The 14,910-nt window shown below is 37.5% G+C and overlaps 1 annotated feature.

The window, feature by feature from the left end:
• Positions 14,388–14,557: an enhancer, noted in NCBI's record as "experimental_5126 CRE fragment used in MPRA reporter constructs". NCBI's record gives its function as "activates a minimal promoter by MPRAs in K562 erythroleukemia cells, with activity observed for both the introgressed and non-introgressed 1:222499516 variant alleles {active_cell/tissue: K562}" and the evidence as "EXISTENCE:reporter gene assay evidence [ECO:0000049][PMID:34662402]".

The raw sequence follows: 14,910 nt of genomic DNA on the forward strand, positions 1-14,910 counted from the left end.
CTGACTTTTGCTCTTACCTACCCCCCATTTTAACCAGATTAATCTCCTAGATCTCAATAAATGACTATAGAATTGTGGCTAAAAGCCATGCAAGAAATTTTTTTTTAAAGAATGCAGAAATCCAATCAAACTGGAAAATATACAACTTGAATGGTGAAGTACAAGGTTCAACAACTCCTCTAATCATCCAGCAAAAAGATTAGAGACCACTCAATTAGGAGTGGGAAGAGTTCAAGAATTTTTTCCTATCCAAAACAGGCAACAAAATGCTGAAAGAGAGGATAAAAATTGGATAAAGGTAAAACTTGAAAGACATCTATCTTAGTCCATTTGGGCTGCTATAACAAAATGCCATAGACTGAGTGACTTATAAACAATAGAAACGTATTGCTCACAGTTCTGAAGTCTGGGAAGTCCAAGATCAAGGTGTTAACAGAGTTGGCGTCTGGTGAGGGTCCCCTTTCTGTTTCATAGATGGTTTCTTCTCACTGTATCATTAAATGGCGAAAAGGGTGAGGGAGCTCTCTGGGGCCTCCTTTCTATGGGCACTACTCTCCTTCATGGAGGCTCCACCCCGAGTCCTAATCATCTCCTGAAGGCCCCACCTCCAAGTACTAGCCCATTGAGGGTTAGGATTTCTACATCTAAATTGGAGGTGACATAAACATTCAGTTCATAGCAACACCCACAGCACAAACTTGAGTATTCTTCATTCACTTCACAAAAAGTCTCCAATCAAAAGAGAGGATTCCATGGGTTCTTCTGTGACTGAGTTGAATTATACAGAAAATAAGTATCCCACTGACATCTCTGCTGGCTAGTATCCAACTCATGGTCCTAGCTTTTACCTTCATTGCCTTAGCCCACATGATACATTTAATCTGCTCTTTTTAGTCTGAAATATGATTTTAAACCCATAGGAATGTATAAAAATTAACCAATGATAAAATATATAAAAGCTTTGTTATTAATATTTTTGTCAAATTTTAAAATGTTTTGTAATTATAGGTATTATTTTTTTCTTATTGAAACAATGTATACTTTTAAATTGAAGTTACCTGTACTTTTCATGTAAAATGTATAAGAAAGTTCATTTGTAAACAGTGCGAACATTTACTTAAACTTGATTTAAGACATTTATAAACATGTTATTTAATTTACAAAAGCTTCTCCAAAGCTAGAAGAAGTTGTTTGCTGGGTATGGGAGTTTTCCCTCTGAAGCATTTGATGCGCTTAAGAGAACCAGAAAAATTGCATTTAATTTACACAAAGATGTTTAAGAGCTACAAATTAATTAGGTTTATAAATGAGGTTAATTGTTTAGGGGAAGTCAACCTGTTAAAATTATTAATTTATTGACTATTATTAATTTACACAGAAATATATCTATTCTTACATAAAGATATATATTCTTATGTAAGTATTTACCAAAATTATAGATAGAATAATAAGTTTTATAAGTTAAATGTAAGGCCTTAAGAAAAATAGGTTTGCCAATTTGTGACTTTAATAGACTATTGGTTTAATTTAATTTTATTTTAGGAAGCCATATGTTCACTATTTATTGAGTATCTCATATGTAGGCATTATGGTTATTATGGGAGATGCTTCAGTGAACAAAATATAGTTCGATATTTCACTCTTGGGGCTTATAATCTAGTAGCAGAAACAGACAGTATACAACTGATTATGCAACTAATGATTTAATTACAAGTCTAGTGCATTCTGCAAAAAAATGTAGATTGATATTTTTTAACACAGACAGTTGCAGTCTACTTTGGATGTTTTTATAAATGAGAAAGGCATTTTGAAGATATTACCTATATAAGAGACATGACAGAAGAGAAAGATGGTTCCCCCAAATTGTCAATCAAGGCCTAAATTTAAAAGTGCAACTAAAAATATTTCTCCTTTTTGTGCAATAGATCTCTTAATTTTTCTGTCTATCTGAAATTTCCTGTCTGTTGAGCAACTACATATTAATTTTAAAATCACCTAACTATAAATCGTCTGTTTGATACACACACACACACAAATCCTTGGGCAAATTTAAAACGACTGTTAAAAACACAAGTCAATGCTTTAACGAAGCCCACCAACTGTCAATTGGTCAAGGCTCCTCCCAGCCCTGGCCTGGTTCTGCCCCAGCAGGGAGGTTTTCAGACTTCCAGGTTGGGTAAGAAGTTTATTTCCTTAGGGGCAATGTTGGTGGTGTCTGTTCTACTTGACCATAAACACCATAATGTAAGAGGCCATGTCTGTTTTGTGAATTATGATATATCCCTCATCTTTTCTATCTAACATTTAAAAGTCCTAACATTAAAAGACCTAACATTAAAAAGTCACTTAACAACTATCAAGTGAGTGAATGAGTGAATGGTGAGTGAATAGCTTGTGGGGCTCCTGGCCTTTCCCTAGACTGTCCAGCCAGGGACTGCAATGCCTTGCCCGTCCTTTGACTCTTTTGAGTTCCTTGTTCCTATTTGTCCATTCTTTGACTTGCCCTCTTGCCTCATTCTCTAAACTCTGAACTCCTGTGACTTTAGACTACTTATCTAATGCAACCCACTTTCTTAATGCATTCTCCAACCCGCAACCCCAATGTGTCTTTTGGGTCCCTAATGCAAGATTCTTTGGCTATTACCTAAAATCAGAATCATACACTTGGGACAGTTTTCCGGAGACAGACCCTGAGGCAGATGGACAACTTGCTGATAAGACACCACCTTTTATAAGACTTTGTTAACCAGCAGGAGGACTTTGGACACCAACTCCTCAGCAGAGATCAACACATCCTGCAGCAGCAGACATTGCTGGCATTTCTTCATATGAATGTTCATTAAGTCCTTTTAGGTCTGAAGTACTCATAGGAAACCTAAAAGGACTTAATGAACATTCATATGAAGAAATGCCAGCAAAGAGATCCTCCTTATAGCATCATGAAATCATTACAGAAGAATCATTGACGATGAAATATACTTGATAACAAAAGCTTAGTTCTTTAAGCTCTTTTCTTTTCCCTTATTAGTATACTAGTGGACCAATAATCCTGTTTGACCGTCAGTGATAGAAAAATCTCATCCTAACCTCAGTGTGTCATCAATGTACCTTTTTGTACCAGCCTTCTAATGCCTGAGGACCTTAAGTCCTGCCTAAAACAACCTTGATTTCTTTCTTAAAGCAGGTGAACTTCTTACCTGTCTGTCTCCATAGTGATGGCTCAAACTCTGCCTTGGATATGCTCTCTGACCTGAATTTCATGCCTGGTTTTGACCTATGACATTGTTCATCTCAGCTCCAGTTTTACCTGGCTTGAGATCTCTGTCCCTCCCTGAGTGATAACATTGAGTTCCTCCTACAGTTACGCCCATTTCCATGACTAGCTCTCCACATGTGGTTCTGGGCCCTCATCTCACCTCATTACTAAAGAAGTTGACATTTCTAATCTAGCATCTTCCCTTTTGCTTTCTGTTTCCTTTTTCTCTTCCATTGCTCAACATTTTAGGGCCAACGAATGAAGGAGGAGGAATATCAGAAGGAGAGAATAAGATGAAGAGGATTGAATCTCATTCCTCTCTTTTCATATAGCCAAGAGAAAAGAGCTACAGATATTCTTCAGCCTTAAGGAAAAAAATGCCTAAATAAAAGAAAAAAAAAAAAAAACTCTTTAAACCCCTGGTTCCCCTCCATGATGCCATTTTCTTTTGTTAAAGTTAAGAAAATAGATGCATAAGCCATCATTATACTAAAAAGTTATCTCATATCTAGTGGTACTGTAGAATGTCAGCCTCACTCAAAGGAACATGTACTTCTAACTCTGAAGTTTCTCTGAAATCTATTAAAATTTACAGGATATATGCTGGTTTGAAAACTTTTTTGGTTACCATGGGTTTTAAATGGTAATCGGAATTCAAAGTCAAACTTACATATTTTTAAAGTGATTGTCAAATCGGTCAAAATAAATGGAAAACTTTTGTGAAGTATATAAAGAAATGTAAATGCTTTATGGGAATTGAAACAGATGGACAGTTTCCCTGGTAAGGCACCAACTTTGATGTCTTTTGTCACCAAAAGAACCAAATTCCTCAAGGGCTCTTTGCTTGAGGCTTTGATATAAATCCTAATATAAACTGTCCCTAAAATCCAGAAAAGTCACTTGACAACCCTACCTCATCCTTTTCATTTGAAGTCTTAGTTGGGCTTTTTCAAATTTTTAAGAAATGTTAGGGTCATCTCAAGCAACACAATGTTTGGCTAAAGACACGAAGAATAAACCACACATAAAAGATAAAGGCGACTGGGCATACTGGCTCATGCCTGTAATCCCATCACTTTGTGAGGCTGAGGTGTACGGATCACTTGAGCCCAGGAGTTCAAGACCAGCCTGAGCAACATAGTGAGACCTGTCTCTACAAAAAATACAAAAATTAGCCAGGTGTGGTGATGTGCGCCTGTAATCCTAGCTACTCAGGAGGCTGAGGCAAGGAGGATTGCCTGAGCTCAGGAGGTCAAGGCTGCAGTGAACCATGATTGAGCCACTGTCCTCCAGCCTGGGCAACAGAGCAAGACGCTGTCTCAAAAAAAAAAAAAAAAAAAAAAAAAGACACAGACCTCAGGAAACTGGAAAGTTGTTCAGGACACAAGGGCAATTTTCATGTCCCAACAGCAACTCTAATATCTACCTTACCTCTCCTCTAGGCTCCTTTTCTCTGTGCTTCTCTCAACACCTCTCTTGAGTTGTCATTGTGCTGACTCAATGCTCCTTCTTCTTCTGGACTTAGGTTCACCACCTTCTGTCTGTGATCTCTTCACATGTGCTGCCACTGCCTGTGGATCATCTGCTTTCATATTAACATTCCTCATAACAAGCCAGGCATGGTGATACACACCTGTAGTCCTGGCTACTCAGGAGGCTGAGCAGGGAGGATCACTTGAAGCCAGGAGTTCAAGTCCCACCTAGGCCACATAGCAAGACCCTTGTCTTCAAAAAAATAAATAAGTACCATAAAAATTTCCTATAAGAGAGTCAGATACTATTCAGAAATAGTAGTAGTATACTTATAGGAAGTAGTATTATTTTCATTGCCAACAATTTTCTAAAAGAAGCCATCTCACTGATAACTACCAACAGCCAGTTTTCTTAATCTGGTGCAAAGTATGGTTTCAGTGTCTATCCTGAGTTATAGTTTTGAATTTGCTGCCTTTAAAATGTCTTCTTTTCAGCATTCAGAGCATACTGCTCATTGATGTTTGCTTCTATTTAATTATAAGGTGAATATTCTAAGAATAAGCCTCGTTTTGAGTTTCCTAGTCATTGTCTACTATTAGTGCCGTCACTGGGCAGATTTCTCCCAAGAGTCACCCAGTTGCCCCTTGAGTAAGGCACCAATCTGTGGAGTCCAGGTAGAAGGGACACACGGCGCAAATTGTTTGCAATGACATTTCTCTGAGAAGGGTAGGGAACATGGCAACTACCCAGAACATCTGAGCCACTACATTTGGGTTTTATAGATATATGGTTCCAACTTATTTTTATAGCAACAAAATTAAATCTAAAGAGGGATCACATATTATTAAATTATAAGCCTCTTCCCACATGTAACCTTTTGCTGCAGATTTATGAAAAATATAACATGCTAGCTTCTTTATCTTTATTGACATCACTGATAGAATATCATGGAGAGCAGGACAGGACACAAAGACAGAATCCCGAGGCATGTTATAGACTAGCCTGGCCACCAATCAACATTCTTACAGTATAACACAGTGTTTCAACTGCTTATGACTTTATTCAACTTCATTATCTTCTCTCTGCAACTTAGAAATGAAAAGAACTTTGTCAAAAGCCTAGCTAACATTAAACTATCTTATGGGTTTGGAAAGTTTGGCTTTTCTGGGGTTTGTTGTTTTTTTTGTTGTTGTTGTTATCCCTAAAGCTTGTCATTATTGCCTAGACATTAGACTCTAAAAGTGAGCTTTAATAGCACTATTGTTATTACCCAATCTTTTAGGTTACTCCCACTGAGCAACTCCGTGCCAGGTTCAGTTCAGAGTAAAACCGATGCCCAAGATACTTTTTCCCTTTACATTCACAAGCTGTTCAGCAGAAAATTAAATTAAAGTAAGCACTGATGATTATTGCCTGTATCAGTCTGGCGACCCCATCCCAAAAGGATGTGAGGTTAGTGTGACATGTTCTCAATGAATTTGTGTCAGCTGTTTCAGTCACTACTGGTTTTTCAAAGATTCAAACCATCAGTTTGAGGGCCTCAGCCTTAGCAGTTTGCTCTCTCCAAATTCCAACTTGTCAAACACTCAAGAAAGGTCTTTCATTAACTGAGCTGAATTTCATTTATAAACTTTAGTTCCCACTAAAGCTCATGCACAAAATCTCTATTCCCAATACAAAATGATAGCCACAAAAACTCAGAAAGAGTGGAGATTGGAAAACTGCCCTTCAGAAAGCTTCCAACGCAGTCGGAAGTTTCGCTCATTGAGTGATTCCCCCCGCCCGCCCTCCTTCTCCACATGCATAATGCAAACGACTCCAACCTGAGAAAAAAACCTACTGATGTGCTGTGAAGGACAACGGAAAAGATCCTTCAGGGAACATGCCTGCGACTCTCAGACAGGAATCCAATTCTCCAGACATTCAACTTCCTGCTCTGTCCTTGAGAATTTCTTCCTGCAAAGAATTCTGTACCACACCAATGGGTGAACTATCTCTGATCTCTCATGCAATCAGCCAATATTTACGGAGCATATCCTGTGTGCCAGGATCTGACCTGGATGCTGGGGATAAGGCAATGAACAAAACCAAGGCCTTGCTCACTTGGAGCTTATCTTCTAGTGTTTTCGTTTTGTGGAGCTTATATTGCACCCTGTGGATCTGCATCGCGAGACCTTTGCTCATGCTCTTCCAGCTGCCTGGAACTCCCTCCTTCATCATTTCCACTTAACTAATTTCTAACATCTTCAAAGCTCAGCTCAAACCATACCTCCTCTATGACTCTTTCCCAGATCTCCCTGGTTTAAGATTTCTTTAACTGCCAACCAAACACACTCTTGTACCAAATATTTAGTCCTTAATGCCTTATGTATCATTTATATTTATTTATGCACAAATCCTATCTCTCCAACTATATTGAAGCCCTTTGAAGACAGATAATGAATCTTTTGTTATTTTTTAAGCCCCAGCACCAAAGTACCCTGTATGAAGAGAGTACATCGTAAATAGTGGTAGCTAATGACAATGATAGTGAACTGAATAATATTTTTCCTTTAGTCTGGAATAGAGCGAGCAAATAAATCAAGGATATCAAAGAAAGTAGTATTTTCATTGGTGACAATTTTACAAAAGAAGCAGTCTCATTGATAACTACCAACAGCCAGTTTTCTTAATTTGGTCCTAAGTATCCTAAGCTCAGTTTAAATGCCTATCATGAGCTATAGTTTTGAATCTGCTGTCTTCTTTTCAGCACATTGCTCATTGATGCTTGCTTCAGTTTAATTTTAAAGTGAATATTCTATGAATAAAAAAGGAAAGTATTTTGGCTTTCATTCCATTTAAACTGAATTGAGTAAGGAATCACTCAGCAGGTATAATGTAGCAAATTGTATAATAACAATAGCAGGGTTAAAATTTACTTTTGGAGAATAAAATGTAAGCAATAACAAGATACGCTTTATAGACAAGAAAATAAAAGGCCAGGCTTTTCTCAAAACTCATGACAGTAACGTGATCAAGCAAGCTTTGCCTGTCAGAGGAAATCCCTGTGTGTAAGCATTATTGCCATTTTGGCTGCCATTTTTCATAGACAGTCTAGGAAACCTGGGACTTTTGGGAGGCAGAGATCAATAGTAAATTTTTATATTTCAGTGTCACTCTAAAATTTATAGTGCTTTCACACATGTTATCTCATTTGATCCTTTCACAAACTCAGCAGAAAGTAGAGCAGGTAAATAATTTTTAAACTTTAAGACAGGGAAACTGAGGTTCAAGTGTTAAGAACATTACAAGAATTGGCCATATTAGATGACATTCCCATCAATGAATGCTTCCACTTCCATACATGCCCACAAATAAGCTCCCTGTTTTTCTGCCTTTGATCCTTCTCCTTGTGCTTGAAATAAAATAGGAAGAGTTCTGTTTCTGTCAAGGGGTTTTGACTTGTTTAGGCCAACTCTCTCATTGACAACCAGAAGACATGGACAAATTCAAAGGCACCTTATAGCTACAAAGGCAATGAGAACTTGTGTTAGTATCTTGGAGTGGGGAGAACCTCAGAGAAATGAATCTAATATTTGGTGCTTTATTCCTTCCCAAGGCATTTGTCAACTGAAAAGCAACAGCTGAGAGTTTGAGAAACTGAACAAGGTTTTCGTAAGTCTATAGGGAAAGACAGGGAGATAAAAATAGAAGTTTAGGGTCTCAAAGAAGAAGGATCCCAAAAGAAAATATTCCAGCCTTTTTGTCATGACACAGAAGGAATTCAACCAAGAAGGAAGGACGAAGTAGAAATAAACTCGCCAAAAGTCTATTTCAAAATGACTTCACAGGTTCAAAATAGCTGATTTCCTGGTTGGAATCAGGTAACACTCCCACACCCAGCATCCTGCCAAAAGCAAAGGTGAATCTTTTCTGGGGAAAAATGTCATCCATGACCTTAAACTATTTCCATAATTTTTCAACATAAAGTCCAGCACTCACATAAAAAGTAAAATAGACCTTAAACATATAAGAATTAGTTGTAAAACAAAAGAAAAATGACAATGGAATAGAACAAACAAAAATACAATGGAATAAAATAGTAACAGGCACACATGTCATCCATATATTGTAACTATGATGAGTATGTTCAAGAAAATAAATGAGAAGATGACAAATTTTAGGAGTGACAAGGAAACTACAAAAAGAAAATAAATGAAAATTCTTAACATAAGTTAAGAGCTCAAAGTATGGAAAAGATTAAATGCAGCTGAAGAGAGAGTCAGAAGAAAAGATTCAGACTGAAGCATGAAGAAATAAAAATTAGATTAAGAGGCATAAAGTCTAACATGCACTTAAATGGTGTAAAGAAGGAAGAGACAGAGGGGGCAAAAGCAATATTTGGTGTAAAGAAGGAAGAGACGGAGTGGGGCAGAAGCAATATTTGAGAAAATGTTGGTTGAGAATATTTAAAACTAATGAGAGACTTCAAACCACAGGTTCAAGGAGTACCACAAACCCCAAGTGGGATAAAAGGAAAGCCATGTTTATGCACATAATAATAAATTATAAAAAACTAAGGACAAGGAAAAAGCAGTCAGAGAAAAGGGACATAATACTTCCAAGAGAACAGTAAAACCGATAGACGACTTCTCAACATGAACAAATTGAATCCAAAAAAAATTTGGTATTAAATCTTCAGAGAGCTAAAAACAAAAATCTGACAATTTAGAAATGTATACACTGTGAAATTATCCTTCTATAATGAGAGATGAATAAAGCCATTTTCAGGCAAACAATAATTGAATTTGTCAGTAAAGTAATCCTACTAAACGAAATACTAAAAGGAGTTCTTCAAGCAAAAGAAAAATAATCCCAGAAGGAAAATGAAGACCCAAAAAGAAAAGAGCAATAAAAAATTAAATAAATGGGTACATGTAAATAATCACTGACAGTAAAAAACAACAATGTTTGATGGGATTTGTGATACATGGATGGTGGGTAGATAGACTGATTGATTGATTGAATGATTGATTGACTTAAAATAAATGTCAAACATAGCACAAAAGTTGGGAAGGGATAAAGACAGTAAAAGAGTTCCACAGTCCTTGCATTATCCATGAAGTGGTAAAAGTACTAACTTATACTAGAATGTAACACATGTAAGGATATATGTTATAATACCTAGGGTAACTACTAAAATATATAGCTAACAAGCTGAGAGGAAAAAATAATTTATAATAAACAATCAAAATATATGCATGTATCTGAACAAAAAGCTCCTACAATACTGTAAGAACAAAGCAGGCAATCCAGCAGGAAACAAGAGGCTCAAAGAACTGAACAGGCACTACACAAAAGAAGATGCCCACTTGGTTAATAAACTTACAAATACGTGCTCAACTTCATTAGATACTAGTAAAATGCTAATTAAAATCATAATTATGAGATACCATTATTTATGCAAACAACAGAAAAAAGTAAAGAGACTGACAAAATCAAGTGTTGATGAAGATTTGAAGAAAATGGAAAGTAGAACCTGCATACACTGTGGAAGCATAAACTGGTAAAACTAATTTTCAAAACTATTTGGCAGTATTTTACTAAAGTTGAACATGCCTTATAGCCTAGCAATTTCACTCTTAGGTATATATGCAACGGAAGGTATATATTTGAACCTGAAAGCATGTATCAGAAAAGTCATAGCAACATTGTCTATAATAGCTAAAAATGGCACCAATCCTTGGCACTACACTGAATAAATTGTGCTATACTCATACCACAGAATACTATACAGTAATAAAAATGAATGAAGTATTGCTATACACAACCCCACACATGAACCTTCCAAACATAATCATAATCATAAGTGAATAAAGCCATGCACACTGGAATATGTGTGGTATGATTCCATTATGTAATGTTTTTTAAAAAGACAGGTGGACAGAGGCGAAGTGTGACACGTATACACCATGGAATACTATGCAGCCATAAAAAAGATGAGTTCATGTCCTTTGTAGGGACATGGATGAAGCTGGAAACTATCATTCTGAGCAAACTATCGCAAGGACAGAAAACCAAACACTGCATGTTCTTACTCATAGGTGGGAATTGAACAATGAGAACACTTGGACACAGGGTGGGGAACATCACACACCAGGGCCTGTCATGGGGTAGCGGGAGAGGGGAGATACAGCATTAGGAGATATACCTAATGTAAATGATGAGTTAATAGGTGCAGCACACCAACATAGCACATGTATACATATGTAACAAACCTGCATGTTGTGCACATGTACCCTAGAACTTAAAGTATAATAATAATAATAAAAAAAGACAGGCAAAACTATTGTGTTAGAGGCTGTAATAGGAGTTACATTTGAGGAAGAGGAGGGGGTCTGTGTTTAGGAGAGGGTATGATGACAACTTCTGGGATACTGGTAGCTGGAAGGTAGTGGTGGCCATACTGACTATGTTCAGTTTATGATACTGTGTACATGATTTGTGCATTTTATGTATATTACTTTAAACAGCAAAAATAAATGAAAATTAAAATTTTGTAAACATATTTACCAAGATCTTTGAAAAGATTCATTTCCTTTTACCCAGTAATTTCACTTTTAGTAATTTATCCTGAGGAAATAATGGTAATGAAATATATTCCATGTTATGAATATAGGTCTTCCTCTATTTTGTACACTAATTTTGTTTCCAATGATGTTTCTATTATAATGCTATGGTAAAGATCTTAGATTAACTAGTAATTTTTTTCTTAACTTAAAATGATCTTCATAAAACAAATTACCATTGAAATGTTTATAAAGAGTTTATAATATAATAGTCATTACATAAAATAGATAAAAGCAGAGAATTAAATTACAGAGTGAATATGATCACAGCTATGTATTTCTTAAAAAGTTGAAGAAAAAGGATTGCAAGGAAATATGCCAAAGTGCCATCAGTGATTATGATTGTCTTTGTTTAATGAAATTATAGGTATTTTTTTCTCTGTTTTTTATTTTATTACCTGTTTTATAATAAATACATATATATTATTTTATAATGGTAAAAATGTAAAATCCCATATCATTAAAATGGAAAACTGTTATTTGTAAAGGAACCCATTCAAATTCCTACCCAGGCAATGCCTCTTCTTCTTCCCCAGGGGCACTGACTTTGAGCTAGACTTACAGCACTCACTACTGTGCCTCATACATCAAAGCACACACATGTTGCTTTGATTTTCATGTTTTAGAACTCAGCTAAAATACAGTGGCAGGGCCCATTGTAACCTCTAGTCCGTCCTCTCTCCAATTCTCCCCACTAGGGAAATCTTTCCAAGCCAATTTCAGGGCCTGTGTTTCATGGCAAGTAATTTTAAAGCAGGGCAGTGTTTGAACATTTACACACAAACAACTCATTAGGTGGCAGAATTTGTTGGAAAGAAAACAGTATGTCATCCAAACCATAAAGTGACTACTGAGCCCAGTTCTCTCCCATGCCTCTATTAGTTCCTGGCATAAGCCAAGATGCTTCAGACACGAATTCATTTTCCTCACCCTCTAAGTACTGGCTAGCACACTACTTTTGCAGAACCTAGCTTTGGGGGGACTTTTAAACTTTTATGCATTTCAAAACTTTTATCTTAATTAAAGCTTGGAGGTAGAGAGTACCATGTACATAACCACAGAAAATATTCATTTCTTATTGGCAGGAAACCTGAGAAACACCATTTCAGAACCTTTTTTTTTTTCAAAGAATTTCCACGGAAAACGCAGATTTATCTCTTCCAACCATATATGTGTTTGGTTCCTCATGAGTCATTTTATTCATTCATTCCACAAACAATTTTTCTGTACCAGTGTTGTGTAAAACACTGCCAGGTACTGGATATAAAGAAAAAAAGAAATTTCCCCTGTACTCAATGAGCTCAGAGTCTGGGGCAGAGAACAGGTAAGTCAGCATATTCTCAAGTCAGTGGGGACAGGGATATGATGGAGATCAACAGAGTTCAAGGAACTCCCAGGAGGGGTGCTGGATTAGTTTTCCATGGCTGTGTAACAAATTACCACCAACTTGCAGCTTAAGACAACATACTCTTACTAGCTCATTATTTCCATGGGTCAGCAGTCCAAGCACAGCTCCCATAGGGCCTCTGCTCCAAGTCAAACAAGGCTTCTTCTATGTATTAGCCAGGCTATATTCTTTTCTGGAGCTCGGGTCCTCTTCCAAGCTCATATGGATGTTAGCAGACTTCACTTCCTTGTGGTTGCCCTTTTCTTGCGGGCTGACAATCTAGAACCATTCTTAGCTCATAGAGGCCCTCATAGATCCCTGCCATGTAGCCCTACCCAGACCTTCTCAAAATATGGCAGCTCACTTCTTAAAGCTAGTAGGAGAATCTTTCTGAATTCTAGACCCTCTTTTAAGGGTTCACCTGATCAAGTGAGGCCCACCTAGGATAATCTCCCTTTTGATTAATTCAAAGTCAACTTAATTACATCTGTGAAATCTCTTCATCTTTTCCATGTAATGTAACCTAGCCATATGGGTAATATCCCATCACATTCACCCACACTTGAAGAGAGGGGATAATATGAAGTGTGAGGCATGTAAACCAGAGGGCAGAAATCTTGGGGGCTATATTAGAAATCTGCTTACTACAGGCCAGGCACGGTGGCTCACGCACTTTGGGAGGCCGAGGAGGGCAGATCACGAGGTCAGGAGATCGAGACCATCCTGGCCAACACGGTGAAACCCAGTCTCTACTAAAAATATAAAAAATTAGCCGGGCATGGCAGCAGGTACCTGTAGTCCCAGCTACTCAGGAGGCTGAGGCAGGAGAATGGCATGAGCCTGGGAGGCAGAGCTTGCAGTATGCCGAGATTGCACCACGGCACTCCAGCCTGGGCAAAAGAGTAAGACTCTGTCTCAAAAAAAAAAAAGAAAAAAAAAAAAGAAAAGAAAAGAAAAGAAATCTGCTTACTACAGGCATCTACCCCAAAATGGAACTTTCAGTGGCTTCAAAGATGACACCAGAACAAGTATTGAAGATAAGTAGAAAGGGCTGTGGAGGGGAAAACTGTTCTAACTAAAGTTATCAGTAAGTGCAAAGTCCCCAAATGAGAAATATGATAAGTTTAAGGAAATGGTCAGTTGTTTGCATTTCTGACTTTAGTGGTGATAGATGAAGTGTCACTCCACAGACAGAAGAGCAGTGTGACCAATGACAGGTAACCTCAGAGCTTCGATTTATTTACCTATAAAGACATTCAAGTTATATAGTCAGCACATGTTTATTGAATGGTAATATGTGCCAGGCATTGTGCTAGGCTTTTATGACTATGTGATTGTGCTCATTTCCCCTACTAGTTATGAACTCCATGAAGGTAAAGATCACATCTGGTTTGCTCACCATTTTATCCCTAAAGCCTAGCACAATGCCTGGCCCATATTACCATTCAATAAACGTGCTGACTACATAACTTGAATCCCTTTATAGGTAAAGAAATTGAAGCTCTGAGGTTACCTGTCAATTTATCTTTGGATAAATTGAGTTTGTCTGCAGAGGCCCCATGGAGAAATGGCCAGAGGGCTGTAGAAGGTATGAGTCTGTACCTCAGATAGAGAAAGATTGGGACAAAAAGTACAGATTTGGAGCTATCAGTACAGAATCAGTAATCATGTCCTTGTAATGGATGAGATTAGCCAGCAGATGTGTGTAGAGAGGAAGCCCAAAGACTAGGACCTCAGACTAGTACTATTCAACAGGTGCACAGAGGAAGATAAGGCTTTGAGGAAGCTTGGAAAGGAGCAGCTAGTGGTGTAGAAAGGAAGTATGCTACCCCAGAAGCCAAGAGGTGAATGGGGCCTCAAGGAGGTAGACCCTTTCAAAAGCTGCCCAAATGTTAAGATAAAGACCAAACGGCAGTCTATTTATCAACCATAAGATCCTTGGTTATTTTGGGGATGGCTGCTTACACTGAAAGGAAGGGGGAAAACAGATTTCAGTGGGCTGAAGAACAGCTAAGCCGTGGGAAATGGTGCAAGTATAGATGGTTCTTTCAAGCAGCCCCATAGGAAGGAAAGGAGTGAGGTAGGGCAATGCAGTGTAGGGTTTGGTTAAGATAACAGAAGTGAGCATAACTTCAGAGGATGCCATAATTCTGTCATGTGTGTGGAACTGCAGCAATATGTCATAG

Source organism: Homo sapiens, chromosome 1, assembly GCF_000001405.40.
Source record: "Homo sapiens chromosome 1, GRCh38.p14 Primary Assembly".
NCBI classification, from domain to species: Eukaryota; Metazoa; Chordata; class Mammalia; order Primates; family Hominidae; genus Homo; species Homo sapiens.